Source organism: Homo sapiens, chromosome 11 (genome assembly GCF_000001405.40).
Source record: "Homo sapiens chromosome 11, GRCh38.p14 Primary Assembly".
Lineage (NCBI taxonomy): Eukaryota > Metazoa > Chordata > Mammalia > Primates > Hominidae > Homo > Homo sapiens.
The window spans coordinates 58,973,487-58,994,975 of record NC_000011.10 but is presented as its reverse complement, the minus strand read 5'-3'; the positions used below and the strand labels follow the sequence as shown (position 1 = coordinate 58,994,975).

General features: G+C 37.9%; 1 long non-coding RNA gene and 1 pseudogene across 1 annotated transcript in view; one reads left to right on the top strand and one right to left on the bottom strand.

Moving 5' to 3' along the window:
* The window catches only part of GLYATL1-AS1 (GLYATL1 antisense RNA 1), a 124,810-nt gene that overhangs the window by 63,477 nt on the left and 39,844 nt on the right, over positions 1-21,489 (top strand). The window contains exons 4-5 of the long non-coding RNA NR_033853.2: positions 925-973; positions 15,651-15,848. This is a non-coding gene — a long non-coding RNA (GLYATL1 antisense RNA 1). The remainder of the gene's footprint in view (positions 1-924; positions 974-15,650; positions 15,849-21,489) is intronic.
* Positions 1,088-16,189, bottom strand: GLYATL1P1 (glycine-N-acyltransferase like 1 pseudogene 1; annotated as a pseudogene).

Genomic DNA, 21,489 nt, shown 5'->3' with positions numbered 1-21,489 from the left:
TTCCTTCTGCCTTCCAATTTTTTTCTTTCTTTCTTTCTTTCTTTTTTTTTTTTTTTTTTTTTTGAGACAGAGTCTCACTCTGTAGCCCAGGGTGGACTACAGTGATGTGAACTTGGCTCACTACAACCTCTGCTTCCCAGGTCCCAGTTCAAGCAATTCTCCTGCCTCAGCCTCCCAAGTAGCTGGGATTGCAGGCATGTACCACCATTCCCAGCTAATTTTTGTATTTTTAGTAGAGACGGGGTTTCACCATGTTAGCAGAGTTCCAATGGCAAATATGAATGGCAGAGTGGAAGACCAGAGCCAAAGGAGGCCACCTTTTGATCATGAAGTGTAATTGTTTTTAAGATCAGCGATTCAGAATTGTAATATAAGCGCTCAAATAGAAAGTTCTAATGATAGTGCATGGCATGTGTCCTTTCCATCATCTAGATTTTCCGCTTTTTTTGTCTGGCTCACTCCTACTCACTCTCCAGTCCTCACCTTAGTGGTCACTTCCCCTGGAATGCCCGTGACCCTTTAAGATAGCAGTGGCAAACACCAAATGCTGAACTTATAACCAGATTCACATGCAACACCTTGCCCTGTGCCATGCTTCAATAATGATGAGGAAGTGAGAAAGAGTAGGAGAAAGGAGGCACAACAAATGTTATTTCCATAGCAGAGGCCCCAAGGCCAGTCCACTTGATTCTCTAGATTTCCTTTTCTGCGTAACAATGATGAAAGGTAGCCTAGGAAAGCCATTTGTCTGAGACTTTACTTTGATACCTTGCTAGTCACTAAACAAAGAGACTGATTCCATTCTTTAGTGTAGCCATTGCCTCAATTCATATATATCAGGGTTATTTATTTCCAATAAAGTATCCATATAGATTAGGTATATTCTAATGACAATTTTATTAAAGTCCTTCATTTATCTTCCAGATAGCAGATTCTGTCAACCACATTTCATAAAGAGTTCTGATTCTAAGAGGTAAGAACTGAGCCTGGCTTTCTAGTTACATGTTTACTACTAAACCCGTCCTTCCCTACTACACTTATGCATATTTAAAGACTATACTCTCCCCTGCCTCCAGCCTGGATTGTAAGTTCCACAAGAGCATGGCTGTGTCTTCTAACATCAAGTCTCTATGTTAGAAAAGCTCCTGGCATATCATAAATGCCGAATAAACATTTGTAAGTGAAGAAACCTATTCTATGGTTTCTTCTACGGATATATTAAGAGATGGCTTGCACAAGATAGCTAGGTAGCTTCATTGTCTAAAATGGAACTAGATTCTCCGGGTATCAGGTCCATTGGTGGTACTTACACGTGGCCTCAAAGGAACAGAACTGCCCCACAAATCTGTGGGAGTCATCATTTACTTCTAGAAAAGAGAAGTAAAATGGACTATTATTCTGATGCAGATATTTCATGAATCCCATGATCACCCGTGCCATGTCGTCTGCCCTTTGGTATTTTTCCATGCTGTAGGCTATTCCTACATCACAAGAAGAGTCCAAGGTTAATCATGATACCGGAGCCCCATCTGGACCCAGCATACAGGCTGCTGGCAGGCCTCCTATACAGTGCTTGATGTAACGCCAGCTCCTCTCATTCTTCCTGCACCTCCAGTTATCATTTACCAGCCCTGAATAAGAGATAACCAACAGGGCATTCTTAAAGTTGGGAGTTTCACCATAGAAAACAAAAAGAAAGACAACAACATTCATCCTCACCCCTGTAATTTCTGGGTGCCATCACATTCTAGAGATCCCAGGGACTCTTCTTGTCTAATGACCCACCATTGCAAGCTGTGTATTTTGACCATTGACAACTTTTATTCATCCCAAAGCATGAATTCATCCTCTTTTCATTCCAAAACTCACTTATGTGAATAACAAAAATGTACAAGGAATAGCAATTATAAATGACCAGCACATGTTTTTGTCTCTCAAATTCATCATCTGGGTGGCCTGACTCAGCTCAGCTTCCAGCTTGCTTTTATTGGAGTCATGGAACTTCAGGATATTCTCCATAATAAAGAGGACTGCTCTTGATTGCTCTACCTTCAGTGACTTTGAAAATGCAGCCACTCTTATCCCCTCACCTAAACTTTCTTGAAGACCTGGGAAGAAAGCCAAGAAAGCAATATTGTCAGACATGGAGTTCTCTACTTACACTGCTCCCACCTGATTAATACATCAATGCTTAGTCGTTATCAAACTTGAGTTTACACCACAATCTGCTGGAGTCTTTGTCACACCACAGATTGCTCTACTTCTCCCAGTCCCCAGAGTTTTTGTAAATTTACATTTCTATTGAGCTCTCAGGTGATGCTAATAATATTAGTTGATGACTCAATTTGAGAAGAACAGCTGCTTGCCCATTTCTTCAGACTTGTTATCATGGATTTGGAGTATCTGTTTCCAGTTTATGATCTCACATATTTCAAAACTTCTTGTGATTTTTTAGTCTCTTTGGAGAACATACAATGTACATTTGTGTATGAATCCACGTCATCAGTCATCTCCTGTTTAGGATGGTGAAAGTTCAGATCATTCAATTGAACTTTTTCTTCACCTCTCACTGATTGCAATTATCAGAAAAATGAAAGTTCAAAAGAAAATTTTACCAGTGGCCCATGATGGCTGCAGGTGGGCACACGGATAATAAAACCTAGGCTTATAAGCTACTGCTGACCTCTTGCCTGCGTAACTGGAGTTTGTTAAATATTTCAGTGACAGGTACTGGTTATAAAACTGCTTATCAGATCCAGAAAGAAGACAGGATGAAATCAGCCACCTTCCACCAGGCCTTAAGATGCCTCACCTTTCTCCCTACTCACTCAATTGCACACTTACTTTATTTTATATATAGCATCACCGAGAACCCAGCAGAATCAGATTGCATCAGTTGCTTCTCTCCCTGCTTTTCTCACCTCCTGGGCCACAGGTATCCCCCTGTTATATATACTGTGCCCCCACGTAACCTCCTGTGTGACACATCCTGGGATGTACTGAGGCTGTATCTCTAGGATTAAGTCCTTAAACTTGGCTCAAAATAAATTTAGCTGTGAATTATCTAAATGTTAGTGCCTACTGTTTCACCAGACACCTAGAATCTATAGTGTCCTAGAATCTAGTGTCCAGGGCTTGGGCAAGATGCTTTAGTGAATATAAACATTAATGAGACACAGCCTTTTCCCAAGCCTACAGGATATCAGCCTATTGAAAGAGTGACACTGTCTTTAAAGCCAGAAGCCCACAAAATAGAATGAAATAGCTGAAATTTTGGCAGCACTCTGGGTAATTTATGTGGTGTTAGACTTATGGGTTTAAAAAAATAGACTGGTGATCACCTTCTGGCAAGCCACAAACTTCATGGGAAGATGAATTTCTGTTTCTTGGGTGAAATATAAACAATAAGTATGAGAGTTTTAGCAGTGAATATTATTTTAGAAAAAAGAGAAAATAGTGTGACTAATTTTAAAGAAAACTTCAAGAATTTGCGAGTGTTTTTATGAAAGGAAGTTCCTGAATATGGCCGAAACCAAAACTTCCATGAATTTAAAATAGTAGATGTTTTAAAAGACCAGATTTTTAAAAATGACTGAAAATAGCCAAGTAAATATTCAAGGAATTATAAAAAGATTATCAAAGTAAACTAGAAGAAAACAAATGGAACCATCTATAAAAATGAAAGCTACCTATAATGAAATGGAAAACAAGACATAGTATAAAGGATATATAAAAACCAGAGTTCATTTTTAAATGGCAAAAACAGAAAGAGAAGAGAGAGAGGGATAAACTTCTGGTAAGGTATTTTAAGGAAATACGAGAGACAGAGAAAAAACAAAAATAAAAAAATAAGCGTAGAGTATGAGAGATGAGAATGCAAACAGAGAAAAGAACAAAAAAATTATAATAGAGGATTATATACTACTCAAAGGCAACATATTTATTGATAAAAGAAATGGATGTTATCCCTCAAAAATAAACTATCAAAATTGACTTTCAAAAACATAGAAAACCTCAACAAACTATTATAAAATATGAGAAATTAAATTTAAAATCTACCGTTTAAAAATTGGACAAGGATTATGGCCTCCAGCTCCACCCATGTTGCTACAAAGGACAATATTTTATTCTTTTCTGTTGTTCTGTAGTATTCCACAGGAATATATATACCACGTTTTTTTAATCCAGTCTACAATTGATGGGCATCTGGGTTGATTCCATTTCTTTCATATTGTGAACAGTGCAGCAATGAATATACAAATGCATGTGTCATTTGCGTAGAATCATTCATTTTCTTTTGGCTATTTACCTACTAATGGCATTGTTTGGTTGAATGGTAACTTTGTTTTAATTTCTCTAAGAAATTTCCAGACTACTTTCCACAGTGCAATAATCCTAAGCAAATTAATGCTGTAACAGAAAACCAAATACCACATGTTCTCACTCATAACTGACAGCTAAGCATTGATCATACATGGACATAAATGTGGGAACAATAGATACTGTGGACTACTAGAGGGTAGAGACAGAGGGGCTGGTTAGAAAACTATTGGGTACGATGCTCACTACCAGGCAGATGGGATCGGTCCGTACTCCAAAATTCAGCATCATGCAATATTCACATGTAAAAAATCTGCATATGGACCACTTGTATCTAAAGAAAAAAATTAAAATTAAAAAATAAGAAGTAGCCAAAATCAGATTATTTTTCATTTAAATTGTACACAAGCCAAAACAAACACATAATTTTAATATTAAGCTTTGGAAACAGAAGAAAAGTTCCTAATGCCAAATCTGTTAAAAAAATAACAAAAAGAGACTTATTGACCATATTCTCTTATGAATACATATATAAAAATTCTGCATAAAATATTCAGTAGTATATCAGAAGAACATGAGCACTTCCAAGATGGCCAAATAGGAACACCTCCAGTCTGCAGCTCTCAGAAAGTTAGATGGAGAAGATGAGTGATTTCTGCATTTCCAAATGAGATACCTGGTTTATCTCATAGGGACAGGTTGGACAGTGGGCACAGCCCATTGAGGGAGAGCCAAATCAGCATGGGGCATTGCCTCACCCAGGAAGCAGAAGGGGTTGGGGTATTTCTGTTTCCTAGCCAAGGGAAGCCATGACAGACTCCACCTGGGAAAATGGTACACTTCTGCCCAAATGCTGCACTTTTTGACAGTCTTAGCAACCAGCAGTCCTTGAGATTCCCTCCCGTGCCTGCCTCAGCAGGTCTCACACCAATGGAGCCTTTCTCACTGCCAGTGCAGTAGTCTGAGATCAACCTGCAAGGCTGCAGTCTGACAGGAGGAGGTGCATCCGCCATTGCTGAGGCTTGAGTAGGTAAACAAAGTGGCCAAGTAGCTTCAACTGGGCGGATCCCACCGCAGCTCAACAAGGCCTACGTCCTCTATAGACTCCACCTCTGTGGGCAGGGCGTAGCTGAATAAAAGTCAGCAGACAACTTCTGCAGACTTAAATGTCTCTGACAGCTTTGAAGAGAGCAGTGATTCTTCCAGCATGGTGTTTGAGCTCTGAAAACAGACAGACTGCCTCATAAAGTGGGTCCCTGACCCCCATGTAGCCTGACTGGGAGACACCTCCCAGTAGGGGCTGACAGACACCTCATACAGGAGGTTGCCCCTCTGGGATGAAGCTTTCAGAGGAAGGATCAGGCAGCAATATTTGCTGTTCTACACTATTTGCTGTTCTGCCAGCTCCACTGGTGATACCCAGGCAAAAAGGGTATAGAGGGACTACCAGCAAACTCCAACAGACATGCAGCTGAGAGGCCTGACTTTTAGAAGGAAAACTAACAACAGAAAGGAATAGCATCAACATCAACAAAAAGGACATCCACAGCAAAACCCCATCGTAGATCACCAACATCAAAGACCAAAGGTAGATAAAACCACAAAGATGGGGAGAAACCAGAAAAGAAAAGCTGAAAATTCCAAAATCTGGAGCACCTCTTCACCTCCAAAGGATTGCAGCTTCTTGCCAGCAATGGAACAAAACTGGACGGAGAATGACTTTGACGAGTTGACAGAAGTAGGCTTCAGAAGGTCGGTAATAATAAACTTCTCCGAGCTAAAGGAGCATCTTCTAACCCATTGAAATGAAGCTAAGAACATTTAAAAAAAGTTAGACGAATGGCTAACTAGAATAAAGAGTGTAGAGAAGACATTAAATGACCTGATGGAGCTGAAAACCTTGGCACGAGAATTTCTTGATGCATTCACAAGCTTCAATAGCCAATTTAATCAAGTGGAAGAAAGGATATCAGTGATTGAAGATCAAATTAATGAAATAAAGTGAGAAGACAAAGTGAGAGAAGAGAGTAAAAAGAAACAAACAAGCCTCCAATAAATATGAGACTATGTGAAAAGACCAAATCTACGTTTGATTGGTGTATCTGAAAGTGACGGGGGGAATGGAGCCAAGTTAGAAAACACTCTTCACGATATTATCTAGGAGAACTTCCCCAACCTAGAAAGGCAAGCCAACATCCAAATTCAGGAAATACAGAGAACACTACAAAGATACTCCTTGAGAAGAGCAACCTTGAGAAGAGCAACCTCAAGACACATGATTGTCAGATTCACCAAGATTGAAATGAGAAAAAATGTTAAGGGAAGCCAGAGAGAAAGGTTGGATTACCCACAAAGGGAAGCCCATCAGACTACCAGCGGATCTCTCAGCAGAAAACCTACAAACCAGAAGAGAGTAGGGGCCAATATTCAACATTCTTAAAGAAAAGAATTTTCAACTTGGAATTTCATATCCAGCCAAACTAAGCTTCATAAGTGAAAGAGAAATAAAATCATTTACAGACAAGCAAATGCTAAGAGATTTTGTTACCACAAGGCCTAAGAGTTCCTGAGGGAAGCACTAAACATGGAAAGGAAAAACTGGTACCAGCCACAGAAAAAAACGTGCCCAATTATAAAGACCATTGATGCTATAAAGAAACTGCATCAAGTAGTGGGCAAATTAACCAGCTAACATTATAATGGCAGGATCAATTTCACACATAACAATATTACCCTTAAATGTAAATGGGCTAAATGTCCCAATTAAAAGACACAGACTGGAAAATTGGATAAAGAATCAAGACTCATCAATCTGCTGTATTCAGGAGACCCATCTCACATGCAGAGACACACATAGCCTCAAAATAAATGGATGGAGGAAGATCTACCAAGCAAATGGAAAACAACAAAAAGCAGGGCTTGCAATCCTAGTCTCTGATAAAACAGACTTTCAACCAACAAAGATCAAAAGAGACAAAGAAGGCTATTACATAATGGTAAAGGGATCAACTCAACAAGGAGAGCTAACTCTCCTAAATATATATGCACCCAACACAGGAACTCCCAGATTGATAAAGCAAGTCCTTAGAGTCCTAAAAAGAGACTTAGACTCCCACACAATAATAATGGGAGACTTTAACACCCCACTGTCAACATTAGACAGATCAATGAGACAGAAAGTTAACAAGGATATCCAGGATTTGAACTCAGCTCTGCACCAAGTGGACCTAATAGACATCTACAGAACTCTCTACCCCAAATCAACAGAATATACATTCTTCTCATCACATCGCACTCATTCTAAAATTGACCACATAATTGGAAATAAAACACTCCTCAGCAAATGTAAAAGAATAGAAATCACAACAAACTGTCTCTCAGACCACAGTGCAATCAAATTAGAACTCAGGATTAAGAAATTCACTCAAAACTGCACAACTACATGGAAACTGAAAAACCTTTTCCTGAATGACTACTGGGTAAATAATGAAATGAAGGCAGAAATAAAGATGTTCTTTGAAATCAATGAGAACAAGGAAACAATGTACCAGAAGCTCTGGGACACATTTAAAGTAGTGTGTGGAGGGAAATTTATAGCACCAAATGTCCACAAGAGAAAGTAGGAAAGATCTAAAGTCAACACCCTAACATCACAACTAAAAGAACTAGAGAAGCAAGAGGAAACAAATTCAAAAGCTAGCAGAAGGGAAGAAATAACTAAGATCAGCGCAGAACTGAAGGAGACAGTGACCCAAAAAACCGTTCAAAAAAATCAATGAATCTAGGAGCTGGTTTTTTGAAATGATCAACAAAATTGATAGAACGCCAGCAAGAAAAGAGAGAAGAATCAAACAGATGCAATAAAAAATGAAAAAGGGGATATCACCACCAATCCTACAAATAGAAACTACCATCAGAGAATACTATAAACACCTCTATGCAAATAAAATACAAAATCTAGAAGAAATCCATATATTGCTGGAACCATACACCCTCCCAAGACTAAACCAGGAAGAAGTTGTATCTCTGAATTGACCAATAACAGGTTCTCAAATTGAGGCAATAATTAATAGCCTACCAACAAAAAAAGTCCAGGACCAGAGGGATTCACAGCCGAATGCTACAAGAAGTACAAAGAGGATCTGGTACTATTCTTTCTGAAACTATTCCAATCAATAGAAAAAGAGGGAATCCTCCCTAACTCATTTTATGAGGCCAGCATCATCCTGACACCAAAGCCTGGCAGAGACACAACAAATAAAGAGAATTTTAGACCAATATCCCTGATGAACATCGCTGCAAATATCCTCAATAAAATACTGGCGAACCGAATCCAGCAGCACACTAAAAAGCTAATCCACCACGATCAAGTCGGCTTCATACTTTGGATGTAAGGCTGGTTGAACATATGCAAATCAATATACATAATCCATCACATAAACAGAACCAAAGACAAAAATCTCATGATTATCTCAATAGATACAGAAATGGCCTTCAACAAAATTCAACAGCCTTTCATGATAAAAACTCTCAATATACTAGGTATTGATCGAATGTATCTCTAAATAATAAGAGCTATTTATGACAAACCCAGAGCCAATATCATACTGAACGGGCAAAAATTGGAAGCATTCCATTTGGAAACCAACACAGACAAGGGTGCTCTTTCTCACCACTCCTATTTAACATAGTGTTGGAAGTTCTGGCCAGGGCAATCAGGCAAGAGAAAGAAATGAAAGGTATTCGATTAGGAAAAAAGGAAGTCGAATTGTCCCTGTTTGCAGATGACATGATTGTATATTTAGAAAACCCCATCGTCTCAGCCCAAAATCTCCTTAAGCAGATAAGCAACTTCAGCAAAGTCTCAGGGTACAAAATCAATGTGCAAAACTCACAAGTATTCCTCTACACCAATAAGAGGCAAACAGAGAGCCAAATCATGGGTGAACTCCCAATCACAATTGCTACAAAGAGAATAAAATACCTTGAAATCCAACTTACAAGGGATGTGAAGGACCTCTTCAAGAACTACAAATCACTGCTCCATGAAATAAAAGATAACACAAACAAATGGAAGAACATTCCATGACCATGGATAGAAAGAATCAATATTGTGAAAATGGCCATACTGCCTAAGGTGATTTATAGAGTCAGTGCCATCCACATCAAGGAACAAAAGACTTTCTTCACTGAATTGGAAAAAACTACTCTGAAGTTCATATGGAACCAAAAAGGAGCAAGAATAGCCAAGACAATCCTAAGCAAAAAGAACAAAGCTGGAGGCATCATGCTGCCTAATTTCAAACAATACTACAAGGCTGCAGTAATCAAAGCAGCGTGGTACCAAAACAGATATACAGACCAATGGAACAAAACCCTAGCCTCAGGAATAACACCACACATCTCAACCATCTGATCTTTGACAAACCTTACAAAGACAACAAATGGGGAAACTATTCCCTATTTCATAAATGGTGGTGGGAAAACTGGCTAGCCATATGTAGGAAGCTGAACGTGGATCCCTTCCTTACACCTTATACAAAAATTAACTCAAGATGGTTTAAAGACTTAAATGTAAGACCTAATAGCATACAAACCTTAGAAGAAAACATAGCCAATACCATTCAGGACATAGGCATGGGCAAAGACTTCATGACTAAAACAAAAAAACAATGGCAACAAAAGCCAAAACAGACAAATGGGATCTAATTAAACTAAAGAGCTTCTGCACAGCAAAAGAAACTATCATCAGAGTGAACAAGCAACCTACAGAATGGGAGAAAATTTTTGCAATCTACCCATCTGATAAAGGGCTAATATCCAGAATCTATGAGGAACTTAAACCAATTTAAAAGAAAAAAAAACCCCATCAAAATTGGGCAAAAGATTTGAACAGACACTTCTCCAAAGAAGGTATTTATGCAGCCAACAGACACATGAAAAAATGCTCATTATCACTGGTCATTAGAGAAATGTAAATCAAAACCACGATGCGATACCATCTCACTCCATTTAGAATGGTGATCATTAAAAAGTCAGGAAACAACAGATGCTGAAGAGGCTGTGGAAAAATATAAATGCTTTTACACTGTGGGTGGGAGTGTAAATTAGTTCAACCATTATGAAAGACAGTTTGGTGATTTCTCAAAGATCGAGAACTAGAAATACCATTTGACCCAGCGATGCCATAACTGGGTATATACTCAAAGGATTATAAATCATGCTACTATAAAGACACATGCACATGTATGTTTATTGCGGCAATATTCACAATGGCAAAGACTTGGAACCAACTCAAATGTCCATCAATGATAGACCGGATTAAGAAAATGTAGCATATATACACCATGGAATACTATGCAGCCATAAAAAAGAATGAGTTCATGGCCTTTGCAGGGACATGGATGAAGCTGGAAACCATCATTCTCAGCAAACAATCACAAGGACAGAAAAAAAACACTGCATGTTCTCACTCCTAGGTGGGAATTGAACAATGAGAACACTTGGACACAGGATGGGGAACATCAGGGCCTTTCAGGGGGTGGGTGACTGGGGGGCTGGGGGAGGAGTAGAATTAGGAGAAATACCTAAAGTAAATGACAAGTTGATGGGTGCGGCAAGCCAACATGGCACATGTATACCTATGTAACAAACCTGCACGTTGTGCACATGTACCGTAGAACTTAAAGTACAATTAAAAAAAAGGTAAAAAAATGTGAACAGGAACAGTTTGTTTTAGAAAGGCTTGAATGGCTTTGATTGGAAGATCTTTTAGTGTGATAAATTAAAGGAGGAAAAATTACATGAGTATATAAGTTGCCAAATAGAAAAGACAAAAATGAAAGAATATAAAATTTACTCTCCATTATAAATATAAGTTCTATGAAAGTAGGAACAAGAGGAAAATGCTCTAAACATGTAAAGACAGAATCAAATGCAATTCTACATATATGTTGTTATAGCTATTTTATTAAAATCAGGAATGAGACAAGTATAAAAATATTATTATTGTTAGTTGGTATTGTTTCCTTAGGTTGTAAATTATGCAATAAGTCAAGAAACTAAAAACCCTTACAAATATTGGCAAAGAAGCAGCAAATAACTTTGTTTGTACATTACAGTATTATGCATTGAGAAAATCCAAGAGACTTTGACAAAAAACAAAACCAAATAATACCCTACACAAACAGGATTTTAAAGAATAGTGTGACATATTTGGAAATCAAAAATACAAATGAAAAGCAATAACAAAATAATAATTCTCAGAAATAGAAAAGGAAAAATAATTTAATAATCTTAACAAATAATATAAAATACCGAAAAGTAAACTTAATGGAAAATCATGTAGTTTACTACAGGAAAACACTTAAATTTTACAAGATGGCATAGAACAGAAACTGAAAAAAGTGAGAAAAAGACCATATTTCTAGATGACAAGATGTAGTACCGCAAAAATAGTAATCTTTCCACAATCGTCTTTTAGACAATACTAACCACAATTGCAATAGTTAGTTGGGGTAGTTGGTGGGGAACTGGGAAAATTAGTTATTGTTCATATGGCTCTTAAGTGTATAAGAAATAGGAAAGTAAGAAAAGTATTGGTGAAGGGTGATTTGCTTTATTAGATATTAAAATTTACCACAAAACAATGAAATAGCATAAGAAAAGACTAGAAACAAATACAGAAATAGATACAAAAATATGTAAAGGTGATATGACAACATAGACATTTATGTTTCAGTAGTGGAATGACTTATTTAATAAATAGTAATAACATAATTAGCCAGCCATAAGGAAGAAAAATATAAAAGAATGTTATTTCATGCTATTCAAAAACATATTTTAAATAGAATGAAGATTGAAATGTCAAAAGTAAAAATTAACTCACTGTAAGACAAAATAAGAAAACACTTGCATGATCTTGGAGTAGGAAAAATCTTCCTAATTATTAACTAAAGAAAACAAAACCTCTGAAGTCATAGTGAAAAATATAACATATTTGATTACAGGAAAGTTAAAAATTTCTTCATGTCAAAATCTCCATCAATAAAATAGAAAATAATTCTAAATTGGGCAATAAATTTGTAGCATACGCCTTGTGTTAGTATCCCTAGTATCAAAAACACTTACAGAATTTTAAGAATGACATAAAACCCCAGTGTAAACATGGTGAAACAATACAAACAGTTCAGAAGTAAACCCCAAATTACTGATAAACATATGAAAATACAATATGTTGACTATCACTAGTCATGGAAATGCAAATTAAATCTACAATAAGATGCCAACTTTCACTCACCAGTTTGGCATAAGTTAAAAGAGGGAAAACATTCAGTGCCGGTGAGAATGTGGGGAAACAATTCTTCCACACATTGCTAATGGAAATAAAACTGGAATCCTTTGGGAAGGTAATCTGGCAGGGCTTACTTATGATAAAATAAATTCTGACTTGGAGACATCCCTTTTGGAAATCAATTGTATTGAGAAAAGTTTCCAGGATGTAAAGACATATATAAGAGGACATTTTTTGAAGCATTGTTTGTACTTGCAACAAAGTGTGAAAAATTTGAACCCAACAGCAGAAGAAAGAGTGACTAAATAGCATTGCATTGGCTCTGTGGAATGCCACAGTTGTTAAAACGAATATATTAGTTCTGTATTGATTTTCCCAAAGGGATGCCCATATGTCAAAGGCAAATTAACAAGTGATGACAGGATATATTCCCAGTAATGGCATGGCTGGGTCAAATGGTATTTCTAGTTCTAGAGCCCTGAGGAATCACCACACTGACTTCCACAATGGTTGAACTAGTTCATGTCCTTTGTTGGGACATGGATGAAGCTGGAAACCATCATTCTCAGCAAACTATCACAGGCACAAGAAACCAAACACCGCGTGTTGTCACTCATAGGTGGGAATTGAACAATGAGAACACATGGACACAGGAAGGGGAACATCACACACTGGGGCCTGTTGTGGGGTGGGGGTGGGGGTAGGGATAGCATTAGGAGATATACCTAATGTTAAATGAGAAGTTAATGAGTGCAGCACACCAGCATGGCACATGTATACCTATGTAACTAACCTGCACATTGTGCACATGTACCCTAAAACTTAAAGTATAATAAATAAATAAATAAATAAAGTGACGACAGGAGAGATCATCAGTGTATGTTAATATGCACAAGGACATTGATTACCCCAAAGGGTAGGAAATGAGGAGAGGAGGGGAGGGGAAGTGAGAGGTTATTAACTTCTTAAAATCATGTTAAATTTTTCCCTTGTATAATCAGCATATATTATCATTGTGATTAAAAACCAACAAAAAAAATATTTTTTTCTAGATAAATTCTGTTTCTCACCCTAAAAAGTTATTATTCAAGATCAAATTGACTTTCAACACTGCACGAAACATGGTATACTATGGAATCAGACAAGGTGAATGTAATTCAAAGTAAATTGCAGCATATTTCAATCTTTCCTTTTTTTTTGGTCATATATGTGTCCTGTGGAACTTTTATATTTCAATATTTTTGTATATTGACTCACTTTATAAAAACTAGCCTTGTTCAAAGCAATGCATATATGAAGTTATGGTTTGATGCTATAGTTACGATGCTAAAATACACATAATAAATACAAAGTTAGTGAAGTAAAAAGAACTATTTGGCTTCCTACAATTATTTAGCATATCACACTTTGAAGAACTTGGACCATGGATTAAATAAACTAAGCATTCATCTTCAATCCGAAATTGTCAGGAAGCCAGGAAATCAAAAGAACATCCTTAGGGAAGGTGTTAGGCTCAGCCTGGCTCTCACCCCCTTTACCCCTTTGTTCCTCAATCTAGGGTCACTTTGTCACTTTCTGCATTCCAATCCTGACCCAGTTTGCACGCTAGTCTTGAATTCGGGTGGCTTATTACTATTTGGAGGCTCAGCGCCTATACTCGCATGAAGTTGGGCTGGCAATGAGGCTTCAGTTCACTAACCAGATGTGCATAAAATGCATACAAAAAGGGGAAGTCTTTAGGGCAAAAAAATAGACCCAGGTTTGTATTACTATTTCAGCTTAATAGTTTATTCCTTATTTCAGCTTAATAGTTTATTCCAATTACCATAATGGCTAATTATGGTAAATACTATTTAAAATCATGTGCTATGTACTAAGTCTTTGATGTACAATATCTCATTTAAACGTCTTGTAATCCTCTGAAGAAGGTCCTGTTATTTTTCCCATTTTAACACATGATGAAACTCAGAGAAGGGCCTATGGTTACCGTCAGTCCTTTGAACTTTAATTCAGATTGGGCAATGCTTTAACGTCTGGTATCCAGCAGCTACATGACTTAATATTTCTCAGTGTCATTTCCTTATCTCTAAATTGGAGACATTAATGGTCACTTCGTTAGATTGTTCTAATGATAAGTCACTAACAAGACAATTGCTTCCAAATAGTTGACACACAGTAATTATGATTCCCTTCTCTGGTTCCTGCAAAGTAACCTCCTGGTTCTTGTTTTTTTGTTTGTTTGTTTAAGACAGAGTCTCACTCTGTTGCCCAGGCTGGAGTACAGCGGTGTGATGTTGGCTCACTGCAGCCTTGACTTTCTGGGGCTCAAGTCATCCTCCCACCTCAGCCTCCTGAGCAGCTAGGAGAATAAACATGCACTACCATGCCCTGCTAATTTTGTTTATTTTTTATTTATTTTTGTGTGTGTGTGGAGATGAGGTCTCACTATGTTGCAGAGGTGGGTCTCAAATTCCTGGGCTCAAGTGATCCTCCTGCCTTGGCCTCCTGAAGTGCTGGGATTACAGGAAGAAGACATCATGCCTGGCCCTGAGAGGAAATTTTTACTGGTAGACTTCTGCTTTGGTTTTTGTTTCTAAGTCACTGTTCTGATATCTCAGACACCCAACTTTCCCTGTCAATTTGCCTCCTCTCAGCCCCTGCAGGTGACCCCTGCCACCTCAAAAGGCCCTTAGTCTGTGAGTGTCAGCCTTATCATTTTCTTCCTCTACCCCCTCCACCCCTTTTCCTAGATGAGTCTTATGCTTTACAGGAAGGGTGGGAACACATGGCACTCTTGCAAGGTGCGAAGTACTTAAGGAGTCTTTTAAAATACTCACATTTTCTTTCACTCTATAAAAGCAGCCCTGGTGTCTCAACTGGTCAGTTCCTTAGGCCCTTTGGACCAACCTGGCTCCACCCGTCCCTATCTGTGTGCCTACCTGCTTTTGAGGCTGGATAATAACCATCTGATACTCAGGCCAGGAGTCCACTAGCACCTCCATATTGAAGGGGTTCCTGTGATTTATGTGGTACACAGAGCCATACACCTGAAGGAGGGATGGAAAGACTAGGAGAGCCTGGGATCCTCAGAGATGGAGATCTGGATGTGAAGAGAAAGAGAAAAACAAAAGTCAACAGACAGTACTGTGACCAAGTCAGTGATGGTGAGATCAGCAGCATCTCTAGGACCCTTCTGATTGACATGAAGTCACCATCAAGTAGGCAGAACTCACAGGTAGGTGTCCTTCTGATACCAAAGAGCTACTGTGCACTAGCTGGGCACTTGGCAATGCTCTTAGCACTTACATTGTATGGATTTATTTAGTGTCCACAAAAACTTTAAGAGGTAGGCGCTAATATTATTCCTATTTCCTTGATGAAAAGAACGAAGGTAAAGGCACAGAAAGGTAAAGAAACATGCACAAAGCCTCTGACTCTCTCACTGTTCCCTCACCTTCAGGGACTCAGGTATGCTCCAGGCCAAGGGTTTGTATAGAACCAGCAGCTTCTGGGAGTTATTCAGTAGAATCATTTTGTGGGATGCTTCAGTCCTTGAGCCATTCAAGAAGAAACTCTGAAAAGATAACAAGGGAAGGGACAATGTTAAGGGACCAAATGAATTTAAAATGCACTTTATATTTCTTCATTCAAGTAACAATCATGATGTAGAATCTGTTAGTATCATCCTCATTCTAAACATACCAAAGCTCAGAGAGACCAAGTAAATTCCTCAAGTTCTTACAGAGGTAAATGCCAGAGTCAAATTTTGAAACCATATATGAATGGCTCCAAAACACATACCCTTCCTCCCTGGTGGAATGAATTAAAAGTGAATATTAAGAGTTCTGTGAGGTTCTCAAATGCCTGTAGCAGAACATTCCACCACCAACATCATAACTTTTTCCCTGTCGTCTGGTCATCAAATGCCTGAGAAGTCTTTTTCCATGTGGAATAGAAAATATCAGCCATCTAAGAATAGTTATGGCTGAAAAACTTAGAGCAGGATGTGGCAACGATTTTCTTTAGTTTCTGAGGGCAAAATATTTTAGACCTATGGCCATTTTGGATCTTTTCTCATTTCATTACAAATTTTTTTTAAAAATGATGAAAAAATTTTGACACATATCTGTAAACTTCCATTGAAATAACATTCACAATTCTCAGAAATGTGCCGTTAATTTAATAATAACTTGGAGAAGGTAATCATCACCACTCATAGTTTCAAAGCTTAGGCTGGTTTCAAATTTTAATTATGTCTCCTACTTCTTTGTTAGGTTGCTTAATCAATCAGAACTCAAAGTGTTTTCTCACAGCTTTGGAGCCAGAAATTAGAATGCATGTTTTCCAGAGGAATTAGATTACACAATGCAATATATATAAAAATGCATAGCGTTATACCTGGCATTATGTAAGAACAATATTTAACATGTTAGTTTTTTTAATTGACTTTATATTAATCAACATGTCATATAGAGATTTAGCAATTATATCCAATGATATAAGATAATTAAAAATGTAAAGAACTTACAACAAATTTAACTAATGTAAGAAGAAACCCATGGATCAGATATTTGAAACAATCATTAGCAAATTAGTTAATACAGATGTTTGAAATTTTTTATCCATGAAGGTTAAATAGTTAACAAATATGTGTTAAGCAATAGGCAAGGTGAAAGATGTTTTGTCTTGTCTGGGGTCAAAGGCCTCAAAGTTCAACTATGTTCTGTAGCTAGATGAAGGAAAGTTTAAACAAAGGCATCCTTTTGCAAGATCTCAGAATTTCAGAATGCTTGAATACTCAAGGAAATTTTAGTAAATAGAACTGGATCTCTGACATGAGCCTATCCCCTGTTTAACTCTGCTGTTCTTGCAGTTGTCAAAAAAAACTGGTCTTTTTTTTCCCCCCACCTCCAAGATATGTCTTTTCTGTTTATCACCTGTCAACTAAAATTGTCCATACCCTGTGTTTTACTATTGTATTCTCCTTTAAAGTTTTAGTAAAGATTTTAGAAGTCTCAATTCAAGATCTACCATGCTGTATCACTTCCTGCAGAAAAAACTTGTGTTCCATTTGCCCTGAGAACTTTGTAGACTGGGCTGGTACATGAGAACAACTCCCACACCTATCAGCTGCCACATCTTTGTCCAAAATACCTCTCCTATCTATTCCCTACTCCATTCACTTGCAATGACCTTAGTTCAGGGCCTCCTTCTCCTCATACTTAATATTGCTTTTATAACCGCACCCAGGCCTCAGCTTCTAACATCTACCCAAATAAAAGTTTTCTCTACCCATATTCTTACCATCAACATTTCATTTATTACTATTATACTTTAAGTTCTAGGGTACATGTGCACATCGTGCAGGTTTGTTACATATGTATACATGTGCCATGTTGGTGTGCTGCACCTATTAACTTGTCATTTACATTAGGTATATCTCCTAATGCTATCCCTCTCCTCTACCCCCACCCCACGACAGGCCCCGGTGAGTGATGTTCCCCTTCCTGTGTCCAAGTGTTCTCATTGTTCAATTTCCACCTATGAGTGAGAACATGTGGTGTTTGGTTTTTTGTCCTTGTGATAGTTTGCTGAGAATGATGGTTTCCAGCTTCATCCATGTCCCTACAAAGGACATGAACTTATCATTTTTTATGGCTACATAGTATACCATGGTGTATATGTGCCACATTTTCTTAATCCAGTCTATCATTGATGGACATTTGGGTTGGTTCCAAGTCTTTGCTATTGTGAATAGTGCCTCAATAAACATACGTGTGCATGTGTCTTTATAGCAGCATGATTTATAATCCTTTGGGTATATACCCAGTAATGGGATGGCTGGATCAAATGGTATTTCTAGTTCTAGATCCTTAAGGAATCGCCACACTGTCTTCCACAATGGTTCAACTAGTTTACAGCCCCACCAACAGTGTAAAAGTGTTCCTATTTCTCCACATCCTCTCCAGCACCTGTTGTTTCTTGAATTTTTAATGATCACCATTCTAACTGGTGTGAGATGGTATCTCATTGTGGTTTTGATTTGCATTTCTCTGATGGCCCATGATGATGAGCATTTTTTCATGTGTCTGTTGGCTGCATAAATGTCTTCTTTTGAGAAAGGTCTGTTCACATCCTTTGCCCACATTTTGATGGGGTTGTTTGTTTTTTTCTTGTAAATTTGTTTGAGTTCTTTGTAGATTCTGGATAGTAGCCCTTTGTCAGATGAATAGGTTGCAAAAATTTTCTCCCATTCTCTAGGTTGTCTGTTCACTCTGATGATAGTTTCTTCTGCTGTGCAGAAGCTCTTTAGTTTAATTAGATCCCATTTGTCAGTTTTGGCTTTTGTGGCCATTGCTTTTGGTGTTTTAGACATGAAGTCCTTGCCTGTGCCTATGTCCTGAATGGTATTGCTAGGTTTTCTTCTAGGGTTTTTATGGTTTTAGGTCTAACATTTAAATGTTTGATCCATCTTGAATTAATTTTTGTATAAGGTGTAAGGAAGGGATCCAGTTTCAGCTTTCTACATATGATTAGCCAGTTTTCCCAGCATCATTTATTAAAAAGGGAATCCTTTCCCCATTTCTTGTTTTTGTCAGGTTTGTCAAAGATCCAATGGTTGTAGAAGTGTGGTATTATCTCTGAGGGCTCTGTTCTGTTCCATTGGTCTATATCTCTGTTTTGGTACCAGTACCATGCTGTTTGGTTACTGTAGCCTTGTAGTATAGTTTGAAGTCAGGTAGCATGATGGCTCCAGCTTTGTTCTTTTGGCTTAGGATTGACTTGGCAATGCGGGCTTTTTTTTTTTTGTTCCATATGAACTTTAAAGTAGTTTTTTCCAATTCTGTGAAGAAAGTCATTGGTAGCTTGACGGGGATGGCATTGAATCTATAAATTACCATGGGCAGTATGGGCATTTTCATGATATTAATTCTTCCTATCCATGAGCATAGAATGTTCTTCCATTTGTTGGTGTCCTCTTTTATTTTGTTGAGCAGTGGTTCATAGTTCTCCTTGAAGAGGTCCTTCACATCCCTTGTAAGTTGGATTCCTAGGTATTTTATTCTCTTTGAAGCAATTGTGAATGTGATTTCACTCATGATTTGGCTCTCCGTTTGTCTGTTATTGGTGCATAAGAATGCTTGTGATTTTTGCACATTGATTTTCTATCCTGAGACTTTGCTGAAGTTGCTTATCAGATTAAGGAGATTTGGGGCTGAGACGATGGGGTTTTCTAAATATACAATCATGTAATGTGCAAACAGGGACAATTTGACTTCCTCTTTTCCTAATTGAATACCCTTTATTTCCTTCTCCTGCCTGATTGCCCTGGCCAGAACTTCTAACACTATGTTGAATAGGAGTGGTGAGAGAGGGCATCCCTGTCTTGTGCCAGTTTTCAAAGGGAATGCTTCCAGTTTTTGCCCATTCAGTATGATATTGGCTGTGGGTTTGTCATAAATAGCTCTTATTATTTTGAGATACTTCCCATCAATACCTAATTTATTGAGAGTTTTTAGCTTGAAGGGCGTTGAATTTTGTTGAAGGACTTTTGTCCATCTATTGAGATAATCATGTGGTTTTTGTCTTTGTTTCTGTTTATATGCTGGATTACGTTTATTGATTTGTGTATGTTGAACCAGCCTTGCATCCCAGGGATGAAGCCCACTTGATTGTGATGAGTTAGTGTTTTGATGTGCTGCTGGATTCAGTTTGCCAGTAGTTTATTAAGGATATTTGCATCGATGTTCATTAGGGATATTGGTCTAAAATTCTCTTTTTTTGTTGTGCCTCTGGAAGGCTTTGGTATCAGGATGATGCTGACCTCATAAAATGAGTTATTTTGAGCCTATATGTGTCTATGTGAGATGGGTCTCCTGAATACAGGACATTGATGGATCTTGATTCTTTATCTAATTTGCCAGTCTGTGTCTTTTAATTGGAGCATTTAGCCCATTTACATTTACGGCTAAGATTGTTATGTGTGAATTTAATCCTGTCATTATGATGTTAGCTGGGTATTTTGCTCATTAGTTGATTCGTTTCTTCCTAGCATTGATGGTCTTTACAATTTGCCATGTTTTTGCAGTAGCTGGTACTGGTTGTTCCTTTCCATGTTTAGTGCTTCCTTCAGGAGCTGTTGTAGGGCAGGCTTGGTGGTGACAAAATATCTCAGCATTTGCCTTTCTGTAAAGGATTTTAGTTCTCTTTCACTTATGAAGCTTAGTTTGGCTGGATATGAAATTGTGGGTTGAAAATTCTTTTCTTTAAGATTGTTCAATATTAGCCCCCACTCTCTTATGGCTTATAGAGTTTCTGTTGAGATATCCACTGTTAGTCTCATATGCTTCCCTTTGTGGGGAACCTGACCTTTCTCTCTGGCTGCCATTAACATTTTTTCCTTCATTTCAACTTTGGTGAATCTGATAATTATGTGTCCTGGACTTGCTCTTCTCGAGGAGTATCTTTGTGACACTCTCTGTATTTCCTGAATTTGAATGTTGGCCTGCCTTGCTAGGTTGGGGAAGTTCTCCTGGATAATATCCTGCAGAGTGTTTTCCAACTTGGTTCCATTCTCCCTGTCACTTTCAGGTACACCCATCAGACGGAGATTTGGTCTTTTCACCTAGTACCATATTTCTTGGAGGCTTTGTTCATTGCTTTTTACTGTTTTTTCTCTAAACTTCTCTTCTCACTTCATTTCATTCATTTGATCTTCAATCACTGATACCCTTTCTTCCAGTTGATCGAATCAGCTACTGAAGCTTTTGCATTCGTCACGTAGTTCTCTTGCCATGTTTTTCTGCTCCATCAGGTCATTTAAGGACTTCTCTACATTGGTTATTCTAGTTAGCCATTCGTCTAATCTTCTTTCA